This window comes from Homo sapiens, chromosome 7, assembly GCF_000001405.40.
Source record: "Homo sapiens chromosome 7, GRCh38.p14 Primary Assembly".
NCBI lineage: Eukaryota > Metazoa > Chordata > Mammalia > Primates > Hominidae > Homo > Homo sapiens.
The window spans coordinates 17,440,161-17,457,802 of record NC_000007.14 but is presented as its reverse complement, the minus strand read 5'-3'; the positions used below and the strand labels follow the sequence as shown (position 1 = coordinate 17,457,802).

The 17,642-nt window shown below is 38.4% G+C and overlaps 2 long non-coding RNA genes across 3 annotated transcripts in view; one reads left to right on the top strand and one right to left on the bottom strand.

The window, feature by feature from the left end:
* LINC02888 (long intergenic non-protein coding RNA 2888) overlaps positions 1-17,642 on the bottom strand; it is a 92,340-nt gene that overhangs the window by 9,454 nt on the left and 65,244 nt on the right. Inside the window, exons 2-3 of one of the 2 annotated variants that reach the window (NR_110014.1) lie at positions 8,855-8,922; positions 6,742-6,808 (exon numbers count right to left, since the gene is read on the bottom strand). This is a non-coding gene — a long non-coding RNA (long intergenic non-protein coding RNA 2888). The remainder of the gene's footprint in view (positions 1-6,741; positions 6,809-8,854; positions 8,923-17,642) is intronic. The other variant, NR_110015.1, reaches the window with a different exon arrangement.
* Positions 1-17,642, top strand: part of LOC105375172 (uncharacterized) — a 32,552-nt gene that overhangs the window by 5,336 nt on the left and 9,574 nt on the right. Inside the window, exon 4 of the long non-coding RNA XR_001745108.1 lies at positions 214-1,125. This is a non-coding gene — a long non-coding RNA (uncharacterized LOC105375172). The remainder of the gene's footprint in view (positions 1-213; positions 1,126-17,642) is intronic.

Sequence of the window (17,642 nt, the reverse complement as noted above, 5' to 3'; positions counted from 1 at the left end):
ACATTTGTATGCTTCTTAGTGTGATAGCCAGCCTCCAAGGCACTCCCAATGATCCCCACCTCCTAGAATTCACACCCTTGTGAAGTCACCTCCTATATCATACCAGCGTCGGTCTGTGGGATCAAATAATATGGTGAAAGTGATGGTATGTTACTTCTGAGATGAGGTTGTAAAAGAATGCTAGCTACTGACACCTTGACCTCTCTTTCTCAGATTTCTTGCTCAGGGCAAGCCACCTGCCATGTCTTGAGAACACTCAAGCAGCACATGGCGAGGAATGGAGATGGACAGACATGGGCCAGCAAGAAACAGGCTTGCCAACAACAGCTTGCGTGATCCTGAAAGTGGGTCCTCTAGCCCCATGTGACTGTTGCCCTGGCCAACAACTTAACTGCAACCTCAAGAGATACCTACCCTGAGTCAGAACCACCCAGTCAAACTACCCCTGGCATCTTAACTCAGAGTAACTGTGAGATAATTACTGTGAGATAATTATGATGATTTTAAGCTTCTCAGTTTGGGGGTAATTTGTTATGCAGCAACAGATAACAAAACACTTAGCAAATGTTATTCCAATGTTATTTGATTGAGGGCCATAGGGATACAGGAGAAAAGAAAGGTGAACACTCGGGTTTAGAAAACAAAAGAAATTACAATCAATCAAATTATTTTTCTAATAAAAAGTGGGTACTTTGCAATTTTGCCTTAGCTTCATTTTAAGGTAGATCTATGTCAGAGTTCAAATTCAGTGTTCAATGACTTACTGCCTGACTGTACAATGATCTGTCTAGTCTCCTAAAGGAAGCCAGAAGAAAAGAAGAGTGATCTGGTAAAAAGAGGGCTGAGATCCTCCAAGAACTGAGTTTGTGTTCCAGCTCTGTCACTATTTGATTATCAACGGGCAATTTATGTAATCTGTTTTAAATCATGGTTTCCATACCAGTAAAAGGGATATAATAATTTAGATCCTGCATATCTTGAGACTAGATGAGTCAGTGTGTGTGGTGCTTTATAATACTGATGTGTTTTTGACTTAACAGGCCCCGTTGACTGGAGGATGGCCATTTGACAACACATTATTTCCTGAGGAAACTTTTGACTTCTGGTGACTTGGGCCCCAGGCAAGTATGTGCCAATCACAAACTTTCTGGCTCATCCTAGGCTTCTCAGTCTCTGTCCCTCTATATTGAATTTGATTTTGAGAGGAAGGCATCCAAAAGAGTTGGTGTGAACCTAATACTGTCACAAAGCTGGGAAAATTTTGGGCTCAATATTTGAGACAGGAAGAGAACCCCAGCTGCCTTACTGAGACTGATTTATAAGAGTAAATTATAAAAATGAACATTTCCTGTCTTACGTTTTGAATACAAATTTTTGGATATATTCGTAACTCACCTTATACTTTATATGTATTCAATGCTGAATGGAATTTTGATAGACTTAAAATCTGATAATCATTTTCTCTGCCATTTTCCAAAAGAACTGGAGTTTAAGCAGACTATTTAGAGGCCTAGCTATGTTCAAAGGCTTTCAGGGAAGATATTGAGTAACTTCTATAGTGGATGCTATTGGTGCCCAACACTTATTCCCTCAGTGCCCATGATTTAAAACAGATTCCATAAATTGCCCATTGATAATCAAATAGTAAGTGACAGAGCTGGAACAGGAACTCAGTTCTTGGAGGATCTTAGCCCTCTTTTTACCAGCTCACTCTTCTGGCCTCATTTAAGAGATTAGATAGATCATTGTACATTTAGGCAATAAGTCACTGAACACTGAATTTGAACTGTGACATAGATCCACCTTAAAATTAGTTCCTTTTATGGCTGATTAGTATTTCATCATATATATTTACATTTTCTGTATCCATTTGTTGATTGATGGACATTTGGGGTGGTTCCATGTTTTTGCAATTGCAAATCGTGCTGCTATAAACATGTGTATACAAGTATCTTTTAAAAGATACTTGTATACACATAATAATAAAATAATGACTTCTTTTCCTCTAGGTAGATACCCAGGAGTGGGACTGCTGAATCAAATGGTAGATCTACTTATAGTTCTTTAAGGAATCTCCACACTGTTTTCCGTAATGGTTGTACTAGTTTACATTCTCAACAACAGTGTAAAAGTGCTCCCTTTTACCACATCCATGCCAACATCTATCATTTTTTGATTATGTCCATTCTTGCAGGAGTAAGGTGATATCACATTGTGGATTTCATTTGCATTTCCCTGATAATCAGTGGTGTTGAATGTTTTTCCATATATTTATTGGCCATCTGTACATCTTCTTTTGAGAATTGTCTATTCAGGTCCTTAGCCCACTTTTTGATGGGATTTTTTTTTTTCTTGCTGACTTGAATTTCATGTAGATTCTGGATATTAGTCCTTTGTAAGATGTATAGTTTGTGCAGATTGTCTCCCACTCTGTGGGTTGTCTGTTAACTCTGCTGATTATTATTATTTTGCCATGCAGAAGCTTTTTAGTTTAAGTCCCACCTATTTATCTTTGTTTTTGGGTTCTTGTTCATGAAGTCTTTGCCTAAGACAATGTCTAGAAGGGTTTTTTCCATGTTATCTTCTAGAATCTTTATGGTTTCAGGTCTAAGGTGAGAGATGAGGATCCAGTTTCATTTTTCCACCTTTGGCTTGCCAATTAACTCAGCACCATTTGTTGAATACAGTATCCCTTCTCCACTTTGTTTTTGTGTTGCTTTGTCAAAGATCAGTTGGCTGTAAGTATTTGGCTTTATTTCTGGGTTCTCTATTCTGTTCCATTGATCTATGTGCCTATTTTTTACGAGTACCATGTTGTTTTGGTGACTATAGCCTTATAGTATAGTTTGAAGTCAGGTAATGTGCTACCTTCAGATTTGCTCTTTTTGCTTAGTCTTTCTTTGGCTATATGGGCTCTTTTTTGGTTCCACATGAATTTTAGCTTTTTTTTCTAGTTCTGTGAAGAATGATGGTGGTTTTTTGATGGGAATTGCATTAAATTTGTAGATTGCTTTTGGAAGTATGGTCACTTTCACAATATTGATTCTACCCATCCATGAGCATGGGATGTGTTTCCACTTGTTTGTGTCATCTGTGATTTCTTTCAGCAGTGTTTTGTAGTTTTCCTTATAGAGGTCCTTCATCTCCTTGCTTAGGTGTATTCTTAAGTATTTTATTTGTTTTGCAGCTATTATAAAAGGAGTTGAGTTCTTGATCTGATTCTCAGCTTGGTCATTGTTGGTATATAGCATTGCTACTGATTGTGTACATTGATTTTGTATCTGGAAACTTTCCTAAATTCATTTATCAGTTCTGGGAGCTTTTTGGAGGGGTCTTTAGGGTTTTCTACATATATGGTCGTATCATCAGCAAACAGTGCTAGTTTGACTTCCTCTTTACTAATTTGGATACCCTTTATGCCCAGACAATCTAAGGTCACATACCTCAAGGAATTAGAGAAACAAGAACAAACCCAAACTCAGCAGAAGAAATAACAAAGAAAGATCAGAACAGAACTAAATGAATGAAAAAGCTTGTTCTTTGAAGATAAACAAAATTGATAGGCCATTAGTGAGATTAACCAAGAAAAGAACGAAGTTCCAAATAAGCTCAATTAGAAATGGGAGACATTATCACTGATACCAAGAAATGCAAAAGATCATTCAAGGCTACTGTGAACACCTAGAGGAGTTGGTTAAATTCCTAGAAATATACAACCCTCCTAGATTAAACCAGAAAGAAATAGAAACTCTGAACAGACCAATAACAAGCAGCAAGATTGAAATGGTAATTTAAAAATTGCCAACCAAAAAAGACAGATTTACAGCTAAATTCTACCAGACATTCAAAGAAGAATTGGTACCAATTTCCAAAAGATAAAGAGGGAATCCTCCCTAAGTCATTCTATGAAGCCAGTTTTACCCTAATACCAAAACCAGGAAAGGACATAAAAAATGAAAACTACAGACCAATATCCCTGATGAACACAGAGGCAAACATTCTCAACAAAATACTATTTTTAATAGACTGGTAAATTGAGTAAATGTTGAGTTCTGTAAGCTATTCTAGCAAATTACTGAAACTGAGATGAGAGTTATGGAAACTCCCAGTGTATAGCTGGTCAGTCAGAAGTACAGGAGGCTGGGACTTGCTATTGGCATGTGAAGTGTGGACAATCTTGTGGGATCTAATTTCTGATAGATAGTGTTAGAATTTAATTGCATTTTAGGACACCAAGTTGGTGTCTGCTAGGAACTGGAAATAAACCCTACACATTTGGTATCAGAAGTGAAGTGTTATTTACAGGAAAGACCATTTAAATAGATAGATAGATAGATGTCTTTTGGGGTAATCCAAAACTGGTTATTGGAATGTCCTCCCTGGGGGAGCTAGGTGGGCCTGCAAGGAAAGCCTGCTCACCGCATAATTCCTTGAGCTGGAAGAAGCACTCTACTTGCCCCCAGGGCGGTCCTTTTGGTTGATGTATCAACAAGCAGACTCCCACCTAGCTATCTTCTGTGGTGGTCTCAGGATACTCATGCATCCTTGTGAGACGGAAGTGGGAATCCAAAATGTGTCACTGCACCAACCTAGTTTCCTGTCTTTCCCATGCTCTAATGCGTATAGGTCACCAAGTCTCCTGCAATACAATTATAGAGCATATTCCATGCAATATGTCTAAATATGTGAATTATCAACCGTTAGCACTTAATATGGTATAAAAATAGAGGAAATGAATAGATATTGGTTGAGAGAACAGAGGTTTAGTTATTCAACAACTCTTTATAGACAAAGATGGTTCTCAAATCAGAGCCACAGTGCTCCCATCTTGTTCTATTTTCATTGCAGAACAACATCTGTTCATTTACATGGTGTATTATATATATACTGAGACTGTAATTAAGGCACCCACAGCCTTCTCCTCTTTTGGCCAACCAACATCATTTCCATGGTCCCTTCCTCTTAAGCCTGGGTTTCCAACTCTTTAATCATCACTGCTCTCTTCTAGATCCAAATGTCCCACTTACTTTTAAACTGTGGTGACCTAAACGGAAAGCTATCATAATGATGCTGTAAAAGTTTGGCAAATTTCAGCAGAAGCCAACATCTGTTTGGTCCTTTCTCATTATCTTCTTGCTGACTTTTCATTAAAGAGTTTTGGAAAAGCTGTAAAACGTATTTTTGAAATTAATTCAACAATATCCATTCTGGCCCAAGTCTCTGCATGTATACAATTTTTATGCACAAATTGATTCATAAATGAAGGGTTTTTAAGCTTACACATATAAGCCTTTATACAATATTATAAAATATTTTGCATGTTCTTTTTTTATTTGTAGTTTTGACTGTATTAATTTAACAGTGGCATGGCTTTTGAATAAATTATTTTAACTTAATGTTTTTATTTAAACCTTTCCCTTGGTATATACACATTGAATAAGAAAAAGAACAGTGTTACATGCACTTACCATGTGCCAGAAAAGGGTTTTACATGTACTAACTTAATTTTCATAACAACTCAGTGAGCCAAGTACTATTGTCATCTCTATTTTTCAGATGATGCAGTTTAGGGAGAGAGAGGCTAAAGATTTGCCGAAGATAAGCCCAACAAGTGAGGGTCAGAGGTGGAACCTAAGAGCAGAGACTGTAGGGCGAGGCTTCTAGTGTCCATCATGATATGCTGTTGTATGTACATGAACACCTGGGTGACTGGCCCTTTGGTAGAACCTTTTTATTGGTGATCATGAATATACACAAGCAGAAGTTTTCTTTGTGTTTAAAGATGATTTTTCTAATATAGTAATCATACTTGAGTACTGATGCTGGTTTAACTGAAGAAATGACTCATGACTATTTCTTTATGGTTGTACTTTCTAAGCTCCCTTAAAGGTTTCATTTATTTTTTTGTTCTGAGAATATAAATCCTACAGTTGGTAAATTTAACTTTTTTTGTTCAAATATTGAGCTCAGCTTGCCATTGTGAATAGCAAATGTAGGAGCCTCCACGAGCCCTATAAAATTAGCCCAGGCAGCTGTGATGTACATTTTAGGCTACCTACAAATACAGAAGAATGCTTTTTGCCCTGAGTATAATTCATTTCAGAGTGAGGTTTCCAGAAGAGATGGTACTATTGTCACTACCCAGGTCTTCCTGTAGGGCTTTCGGAAACTGTATTGCCCTTTCAAAGAACTCTTGATACCATTCTGAGAGGACTGTCTACACTATGAAATTAGTGGTGTGGTGTATCTATACCTCAATAAACTTGCTCCAGCTACACCTATTTGTTCCTTCAAGTTTTCTTTAAACTTTAGGGAAAATAATTACCTTGATAAATAAAAATCATATCCCAGCTTACTTTATTTGCCTTAAAAAATTGAACATAATATTAAAAATTTCTCTAAAAAACCAAGACTAGAGGTGCTTTCTCTACCTATTTAAGAAGGTTATTTGAGAAAACCCACAATCCTGTCCCCAAATGTGCCTTTAAATTTACTATCTGTATAGAGTAGAAGAAAGCAATGCTTCTAGTCATAGATAAGCATTTCAAAGAAATTTTAACACGTACTCTTTACTCCCTAAATGTTCTCTAAAACAATGATTTCTCTTTAAAAATATTATATGCATACAGTTTTATGGTAGGATCTGCATCTATTAGGAAATACTCAAACATCTTTTAGTATGCTGATTTGTAAAGAATTCATAGCAAAATGAATTCATAACAAAATATGAACAATATTTACCTTTCTGCAAGTAGAATGGGGACTGTTGGGAATGGAGATGAAGACTTCACTTCATGTTATTCATTTCCTGAAATGATAAAAAAGAAGAACAAACTCTGTACATGTATTTCTTTACAAGTAGTTATGTGAGCAGTGAGATTGAGCTACTTTGTTTTCATATATTTTTCTGAATTAAATAAAATTAAATGATTTGTCTAAGTTCACACAGCTAGTTAGTGGCTAGACCTAGAATCCTGGTCCTCTAACTATATCATCTTCCCTAAGTATTATTTATAAAGTATATCCCGTTAATTTAATTAGACCATAAAACCAAGCTTTAGAACGGGTATAAATACACATAAGAGATAAATATAATGACTCATAGGTGAAATGAATTGTAATTGTGTAAATATTAAGTGCTAGAAATAGGCTCAATTTGAAAATAAAATGATGCACAGTTGAAGGAAAACTCATTTTTTAAAGATGGTGGATTCTAGATGAAAACAATGGAGGGAAATGGCCAATATGGCTGTCTAGAAGCAGCTACTGTGTGTAGCTCTCATGGAGAGAAACGGGAGGGGTGAGTAAATACAACACCTTCAACTGAAACATCCTAGTATTCACAAAGGGAGTAATCAAGGAAACAACTTGACTCATGGAGAACAAAGAAAACCAAGACAGGACAAAGCCCATCTGGGAGAAACACGGAGACAGGGGACCCTCCCCCACCTAAGGAATCCATGCTTCTTTGACAGATCTTTGCAACCCTTGGGACAGGAGATATCCTTGTGAACGCAGTCTACCAGGGACTTCAGTCTGACAGAGCTACATGGAGTCTTGGCAGAGCAACCACTCAGACATGCGTGGAATCACTGGAGCCTTAGATACTTGGGCTTTCCAGCAAAAGTAGCTGCAGCTCCAGCAAAGTGGGAGGTTAGAACCCTGTACATACCCATAGAAAAGAGGCTGAATTCAGGGGGCTGAGCAGCAACAGCCTGCAGGCCCCAAGTCCATGCTACCTCACAAGATAAGACCCACAGCTTAGAATTCTGGCCAGCCACTGGTACCAGCATTGTAACTCCCTAAGGAAGAGCTCCCAGGGGGACAGGCAGGCCTCCATCTTTACTGTTCAGGTACATTAGCTGTTCCAGCCTTCAGGCTTTGCAGAATCCAGGCCAATCGGGCAGAAGGGATCCCCCAACACAGCACAACTGCTGTACCAAACATGGCCAGACTACTACTATAAGCAGGTCCCCAATCTCATTCCTTTTCACTGGACAGGACCTCCCAACTGGGGTGCCTCCAGCCACCTCTCCCCTAAAGGTGTTCTCTGGCCAACAGAGATTAGTAACTTCCCAGGGATGGAGCTCACAGAGGGGGTGGGCCACCATCATTGCTGTTTGGGTGACTTAGCCATTCCAGCCATCGGGCTTTGGAGTGTCTAGGCAACCAGGGGCTGAAGCAAATGCCCAGCAAAGCATATCTGCTCTACCAAAATGTGGCCAGACGTCTTTTTAAAGCAGGTCCCTGATCCTGTTCCTCCTCACTAGGCAGGATCTCCCAGCTGGGGTCTCCAGCCACCTCCTACAGGTGCCTTTGGGCCAGCAGCAGGCACATACCTCTCTGGGTCAGAGCTCCCAGAGAGAGGGCCAGATTGCCATTTTGCTGCTTCACAGCCTTCATTGGTGATACCTCCAGGTACTGGAAAATCTGATGTGACTAGGGATTGGAGGGGGCCCCAAGCATACTGAAGCAGACCTACAGAAAAGTGGCCAGACTGCTACATGGGTGCTTGTTCCCATATCCCATATCTCCAGGTCTTTCAGGCCTGGGCCTCTAGCCATCCCCCACCAGAGCTATCAAGCCCGTGGCAACTTGGCAACTCCCTGGACAGAGCACCCTGGGTCAACTGAAAGCTTCTCCTGTATTGCTTTATTTTGATTCTCATTCTCCTTGGATTGGAGTTTGCTTCCCTCCTGAATCTCAATGATGTTCTTATCCATATTCTGAATGATATTTCTGTCATCTCAACCAGGTTAAGAACTCTTGTTGGAGAACTGATGCAGTCATTTGGAGAACATATGACACTCTAACCATTTGAGTTACCAAAGTTTTTGTATTCATTCTTTCTCACCTCTGTGTGTAGATGTTCCTTTAACTGGAGTGTAGGTTGAGTATAATCCATAGACTTCTTTCCAGGAGCTAAAGAATGAAATAGCAAGTATAAAAAAGAACCTAACAAGTCTGACAGAGCTGAAAAACACAATACAAGACTTTCACAGTGCAATCACAAGTATTAACAGCAGAATAAACCAAGCTGGGGAATGAATCTCAGAACTTGAAGACTGGTTCTCTGAAACGAAGCAGTCAGACAAAAATAAATAAAAAAGAAAAAGAATAAACAAAACCTCTGAGAAGTATGGGATTATGTAAAGAGGCCAAATCTATGAATCACTGGCATCCCTATAAGGGATGGGGAGAAAGCAAACAAGTTGAAAAGCATATCTTAGGATATCATCTATGAAAACTTCCCCAACCTTCTAGAGAGGCAAACAGTCAAAATCAGGAAATAGAACTCCTGCAAGATTCTCCACAAGAAGATCATGCCCAAAACACATAATTGTCAGATTTTCCAAGGTCAAAATAAAAGAATGTTAAAGGCAGCTAGAGAGAAAGGGCAGGTCACCTACAAAGGGAACCCCATCAGACAGTGCAACTCTCAGCTAAAACCCTACAACCCAGAAGAGAGTGGGGGCCTATACTCAACATTCTTAAAGAAAAACATCATCTTCAAGAATTTCATATCCAGCCAAACTAAGCTTCCTCAGTGAAGAAATAAGATCCTTTCCAGATAAGCAAATGTTGGGGGAATTCATTACCACCAGACCTGCCTTACAAGAGATCTTGAAAATAACACTAAATATAGAAAGGAAAGACTGCTACCAGCTCATACAAAGACACACAGACCAGTGTCACTGTAAAGCAAACAAGCCACCATAATAACCAATTAACAGCACAAAGACAGGATCAAATCCACACTTATCAATACTGGCCTTGAATGTAAGTGGGTTAAATGCTCAATTTAAGAGGCACAGAGTGGCAAGCTGGATAAAAAAGCAAGATCCAATGGTATGCTGTCTTCAAGAGACCCATCTCATGTGTAATGACACTCATAAGCTCAAAATAAAGGGGATGGAGGAAAACATACCAAGCAAATGGAAAACGGCAAAAAGCAGGGGTTACAATTCTAATTTCAGACAAAACAGATTTCAAACTAACAAAGATAAAGACAAAGTATATAATGGTAAAGGGTTCAATTCTACTAAGAGACATAGTTGTCCTAAATATATATGCACCAAACAGGAGCACCCAGATTCATAAAGCAAGTTCTTAGAGACCTACTATACAAAGAGACATAAAGTCTCCCACTATTATTCTGTGGGAGTCTAACATTCCACTGACAATATTAGATCATCAAGGCATAAAATTAATAGATATTTAGAACCTAAACTCAACATTGTACCAATGGATCTGATAGACCTTTAAAGAACTCTCCACTGGAAAGTAACAGAATATACACTCTCTCATCACCACATGACACATACTCTAAAATTGGCCACATAATTAAACATAAAACAATCCTCGGCAAATGTAAAAAGAATCAAAATCATACCAAACACTCTCTCGGACAACAGTACAATAAAAATAGAAGTCAAGACTATGAAAATCGCTCAAAACCATGCAATTACATGAAAATTAAACAATATGCTTCTGAATGACTTTTGGGTAAATAATGAAATTAAGGCAGAAATCAAGAAGTTCTTTGAATATCATGAAAATAAAGATACAACATACCAGAATCTCTGGGACACAGCTAAGAAAGTGTGGAGAGGGAAATTCATAGCACTAAATGCCCACATCAAGAAGTTAGAAAGATCTCAAACTAACAACCTAAATTAAATGGAAAGAATTAAAGAAGCAAGGATAAGTCAACCCCAAAGCTAGCAGAAGACAAGAAATAACAAAAATCAGAGCTGAACTGAAGGAAATTCAGAGACAAACCATTTAAAAAATCAACAAATCTAGGAGTTGTTTTTTAAAAAAAAATTAAAGTAGATAGGCCACTAAATAGACTAATAAAAAAATTAAGACAATTAGAAATGATGAAAGAGATATCACTGACCCCACAGAAATGAAAACAACCATCAGAAACTACTATAGAGACCTCTCCACACACAAACTAGAAAACCTAGAAGAGATGGACAGATTCCTGGACATATACACCCTCCCAAGACTGAGCCAGGAAGAAATTGGTTTCCTGAACAGACCAATAATGAGCTCCAAAATTGAATCAATAATAAATAGCCTACCAACCAACCAAAAAAAAAAAAAAAAAAACAAAAAACAAAAGCCCAGAGCCTGATGGATTCACAGCCAAATTCTACCAGATGTACAAAGAAGAGTTCATACCATTCCTACAGAAACTATTCCAAAAAAACTGGGTCGGTTGCAGGGCGAGGACTCCTCCCCCACTCATTCTATGAAGCCAGCATTATCTTGATACCAAAACTTGGCAGAGACACAACAAAAAAAAACATCAGGCCAATATCCTTGCTGAACATTGATGCAAACATTCTCAACAAAATACGTGCAAGCCGAATCCAGCAGCATACCTAAAAGCTAATCCACAACAGTCAAGTAGGCTTCATCTCTGGGATGCAAAGTTGGTTTAACATATGCAAATCAATAAATGTAATTCATCACATAAACAGAACTAAAGATGAAAAACACATGATTACCTCAATAAATGCAGAAACGGCTTTCAATAAAATTCAGTCTCAGCACTCTGGGAGGCCAAGGTAGGCAGATCGCCTAAGGTCAGGAGTTCAAGACCAGCCTGGCCACCATGGTGAAACCTTATCTCTACTAAGAATACAAAAATTAACTGGGCATGGTGGTTGCACCTGTAATCCAAGCTACTAGGGAGGCTGAGGCAGGAGAATTTCTTGAACCTGGGAGGTGGAGGTTGCAGTGAGCCAAGATTGCACCACTGCACTCCAGCCTGGGCAACAATGCAAGACTCCATCTCAAAAAAAAAAGAAAAAGAAAAAGAAAAACAAAAACGAAAAAAAAAAAGTTAAGAAAAAGAAAATAATGATCTTGTGGTTCATATTCTGATATTCTGGCACTCTTTCAGAGTGTAACAAGACCTTCTAATTAGACTTCATATAAACTCTCTACTTTTAAATATCTTCTTTTCTTTTTTTCTTTTTTTAACAAAGATTGGCAGAGTAGAGACATATCTTTAAGGGAGAATCTTCCTACTTAACTAATCATCTGTCCATCTGTCCATCCTATGCCTGTCTTCTTTCTCCTTTTTTTCCCTCAATATGACCACATATTGAACACCTACAACATGCAAAGCATTGTGCTAGGTTGATTCCTATTCCTATTTCCAAAAAGTCTTAGCTGCCCTCTTGGAATCAGCAAACAGCTACATATATAGGATTCTTGGAGTATCCTTTTTCCATTGCTTATAGAAACACACATATGCTTTGCTCCTTGGACTGCTAACCCCACTAAGGAAACACTGTCCCAGAGGGATAGTTCCTTTCCATATAGAAACAGTGATGCAGCACTGAGTAGGCACTCAGTAGTTACTGAATAAATTCATCAATAGCTGTGACAGCTTTCCCCTCTCCATGCCAAACTCCTAAGTAAGCTTTGAAAATCCTTCAAATTTACTTCTATTCCTTTCCATTCTACCATTTTTGAAATGGAAATACGTGAAGGAAAATGGATCCTGAATAATTTCAGCCCAAATTCCTGGAGGAAAATAGTAAGAAAAGGGAAATTGCTACTTATTTGGAGCTGCCCACAAGTTAAATTTTTATGATAAGATAAATTCTCATTATTTCAGCATTACCTCCTTCCTAGTAAAATTTATCATTGGTAGCTACCCTCATTTGCATTATTTAATATGCCCTGCTAGGATAATGTTATTTTTATTTTTTTTCACATGTCAAAACAGAGGCTTTGAAAAATTAAATAACTGGCCACCCAAAGAAGTCACTGGGTCAAAGATGGGGCTAGCATGGGGGTTTGAACAACCTGTTTAAGAAGGGACAGGTGCTGAATTAGTGGAATGTAAGAGTTGGCACTGAGCAATAGGCAAGCCCAAAAGAAAGAAGGCTGACTCACCAGGAAATGGAATTAGCACAAAAGGTCAACTTTCTCTCACAGATAAAGGAAAACTCACAAGTCATATCCCCGACAGGACAAAAACAAAGCCTAGACACTTCAGCAAAAACATAGCATGCCCAGAATATGACTTTTCTAGGAAAACTTTTGAATAACACTTACATATGGGAAAAATGTTTTAAAAACTGGGTACATATTGGGATAGAAAGAATATTCAGGTACGCATTAAGGATATTTCTAGATCTCTTGTCTCCTCTGGGTACAACTAGGTGTACAGAGAAAAATATTTTAGGAGTTTTCATTTCAAAATAAACAGAACAGGAAAATAAAGAATTCATTAAAAGAGTATAAAATTAATTTTAGTTGCAAAATAGTATGACTACCATTTAAACTAAGAAACAGCTCTTCTAGCGCTGCTACTACGGGTTCAATTCATTACAACTGATAAGATGTGGAGGACATGAAAGGGAGAGAAGGGTTGGACAGGAAAACCTTCAGGAAGATGGGGGAAAGCCACTAATAGTCATTGGTTCTAGCAGTCCATTAAAACATTTTCCAGCCTGCTTATTGAAGCTGTGGAAAAACTGGGGACTCATATTTCTCACTCTAGGATGTGGAAAGTTTAAATTACAAGAAGATGGAAAGGGAGGAAATGGCAAAAGGAAGGAACACCATGAGTTAGTTACAGCTAATCTCAATATATGGATATTTCTTAATTTAAGAAATGCAGGGAAAATCAAACAAAACGATGGGGATTATAACCAAACTGCCATGAATTTATGTACCAAAAAAGCTGAAAAAACAGGGCTTTCTTAAAGCTTATACAAATGAAGAGAAACATTAGACTGTGTACTTCATTATTATAATAAATACCCATTGAGCAGGCTGTCTACATAATGCATGTACATATAAGAGGGCAATAAAAAATCAACTGGGCAACTTTTTATTGTCCTCATATATACATAATGGGGCAAGTATAAGTCAATGGACCATTCTGAACATGCCCATATCTAATGAATTGGCAGCTATCACTTAGATATTAGAATTGCTACTATTCATTAAATGCTTCCCATGCTGTGGGCATATTTTAAGGAAATTTACATGTTATTTCATTGAATTCCTCTAGCAGCTCTGAAGTATTGTTACCCTCAGATAGATAGTAGATGAGAAAACTGAGGCTGAAAGAGAGTAATAACTCATCCAAGGACACATGGGTAGGAAATAGAGAAGCCAAGGCTTAAGCCTAAGGATAATTCTCTCAGAGTTCATGCTCTTTCTACTATGCCACACTCTTTCACCTCCATCTTACTCTGGGGTATGATGAGCTTGATGAGGTAGAGAAAGGCTTCTAATGACATGGAAACTAAAGGCAGTACTCCTCAGGAGAGAGGGCTAAATAAGAGTATTTAAGATGATAGCATGGAAAACAGACTGCATGTTGTAAACACCTAGTGCAACGCTTGGCATATTGTAGGTGTTCAATGTATGGTCATGTTGATGGAAAACAAAGAGGAGAAAGAAGGCAGGCATAGGATGGACAGATGGACAAATAGTTGGTTAAGTAGGAAGATTGTCCTTTTCCTTTGAAGTTTACAGGGATCTGTGTGAAAGCCAAAATTTCAAAGAAACGGAGGGAAGCATACACAGCTGAGGTTGTGCCAGAGCTAGGGTTCTTACAGGAGTGGAAGGACATCATCCCATCAGGACATGAAAGTTGGAGACATGGTCTCTAGGACTCCAAAGAGAAGGCATTTTTATCCCTTTGCTCATGCAAGATAGGCAAAGCATTTAAATATTTGGGATTAGAATATATTATATTCTATATATATATATTTTCTGTATGTGTGTGTATATATAAAATATATACTCTCCCAAACTTTTGAAATCCCAAATATGTTAAAAAAAATACATATATATATATAATATATATATGGCTATATATGTAGGGGAATAGGTATGTATATATATAGATAGGTATAGACACAGGCAATTGCAAGATATATATACCTATATATACACACACACCTTACAATTGCTTGTTTTGTCATTTACTTTTGTTAAACTTAAAGCTGTTTCTGTGTTAACTTGTTTGCAAGGATTAGTGTAAGAGAAGAAAGTGATTTTTTGGTTCCTTGTCTTTTCTCATGCCTACTGTAGGTCATGGTAGGCTTTTTTTTGTCAACATTACAATCTGAATTTTTAGCATCATATTGTAATAAGCTTTCCCTTGTTTTCCTGATACACTGAAAAAATTTAAGAGCATTCATGATGCTGTTGAATGTTTCTTTGAAGAAACAGATAACAGGGGCTGGGCGCAGTGGCTCATGCCTGTAATCCCAGCACTTTGGGAGGCTGAGGTGGGTGGATCACGAGGTCAGGAGATTGAGACCATCCTGGCTAACAAGGTGAAACTCTGTCTCTACTAAAAATACAAAAAACTTAGCCGGGCATGGTGGCGGGTGCCTGTAGTCCCAGCTACTTGGGAGGCTGAGGCAGGAGAATGGCATGAGCCCAGTAGGTGAAGCTTGCAGTGAGCAGAGATCAAGCCACTGCACTCCAGCCTGGGTGACGGAGCAAGACTCCATCTCCAAAAAAAAAAAAAAAAAAAAAAATTAAAATTAGAGAAAACCTGAAGTGTTTGGAGGTTTTGATCAGATGTATTCTCAAGTGGAGGGCTTCTATGAAATAGCATAGCTCTAGGAAGGGGCAGTTAAGCATGAAACCCTAGGTAGCATTAAATAGAAGGCAAAATAAAAGTTGCATGTTTTAAACCACATTTCTTAAAATATCTTAACATGTCTGAACCATGCCTAAGCCTATTTTATCAAAGTTACCACTAAAAAATTAGCTAAGTGTCTTCAATTTACATTTCAAACATTTCTAGAGTAAAACTCTTTTTGGTCACTTTCCTTGATGTATTGGTAGTAAATTATATTTTTTACAATATACATGTATTTCATGAGTTCTTATTAATATAAAAAGTAAGGCATCATTTTCACCCTTTCAGAAAAAAAAAAAAACAAAACACAAAAAACACAAAACCAAAGAGGAAATGTCACCATCCAAAGACAACAATCTTGATATTTCCTATAGGGCTTTGTGTGTGTCTTGGAATGGAGAAGGATGATAAGCTTCTATAGGATTCTCAGGCAGCCAAGATCAAGACATGTGCTCTTCTTGCTCTCTGGGACTCACTGCCTCTAAGAGAACTGTGGTCTAGGAAATCCACTGTGATGGCTGTATTATCTTAAGTCTGTAGTTCCAAAAAGACAATAGAAATTCTACCCACCCTACAAAGTAATAATCCCATCTCTAGAAAATCAGGCACAATGAAGTAATTCTTTAAATTACAGATAGTATATAAAATGACTTCAATTTTCCAAACAGTCTGCATGATTTTGCATATTCATAGCTCATAGATGACTCCATAGTGACCTGGCAGCAACCTCTCTCCTAATTGGGGCCTGATTCCCAGGTTCCAGGTCTCATTTTCATTCTAGAGAAGATTCCCGCACAAGATTGTTTTATACTTAAATCTAAGGAGACTCACAGGTTTTTGGTTTGCATTTCCTTTTCTAGACAGAGGCTACTGATTATATCCTGTACTAGAATAAGTTCCTGTATACCCTTTGATATGGTTTGTCTCTGTGTCCCCACCCAAATCTCACCTTGAATTGTAATAATCCCCACGTGTCATGGAAGGGACTTGGTGGGAGGTAATTAAATCATGGGGGCGGGTATTTCCTGTGCTGTTCTCATAATAGTGAATAAATCTCACGAGATCTGATGATTTTATAAAAGGGAGTTCCCCTCCACATGCGTTCTTGCCTGCTGCCATGTAAGACGTGACTTTGCTCCTCCTTTGCTTTCTGCCATGATTATGAGGCTTCCCCAGTGGAACTGTGAGTCAGTTAAACCTCTTTCCTTTAAAAATTACCCAGTCTCAGGTATGTATTAGCAGTGTGAGCATGGACTAATACAGTAAATTGGTACTGGTAGAGTGGGGTGCTGCTATAAAATTACCTGAAAATCTGGAACTGACTTTGGAACTGGGTAACAGGCAGAGGTTGGAACAGTTTGGAGGGCTCAGGAGAAGAAAGGAAAATGTGGGAAAGTTTGGAATTTTCTAGAGACTGTAGGGCTCAGAAGACAGGAAGATTTTGGAAAGTTTGGAACTTCCTAGAGACTTGTTGAATGGCTTTGACCAAAATGCTGGTAGTGATATGGACAATAAAGTTCAGGCTGAAGTGCTCTCAGATGGAAATGAGGAACTTGTTGGGAACTAGAGCAAAGGTCATTCTTCCCTATCCAAAGAGATTGGAGGCATTTTGCCCCTGCCCTGGAGATCTGTGGAACTTTGAACTTGAGAGAGATGATTTAGGGTATCTGGCACAAGAAATTTCTAAGTGGCAAAGCATTCAAGCGGAAACAGAGCATAAAAGCTTGGAAAATTTGCAGCCTGACAATGCGATAGAAAAGAAAAACCCATTTTCTGGGGAGAAATTCAAGCCTGCTGCAGAACTTTGCATAAGTAACAAGGAGCTGAATGTTAATCACCAAGACAATGGGGAAAATGTTTCCAGGGTATGTCAGAGACCTTTGTGGCAGCCCCTCCCATCACAGGCCCACGGGCAGGGGGTGGGGGTGGGGGATGGTTTCCTGCACCAGGCCCATGGCCTCCCTGCTGTGTGAGCATAGGGACTTAGTGCCCTGCCTCCCAG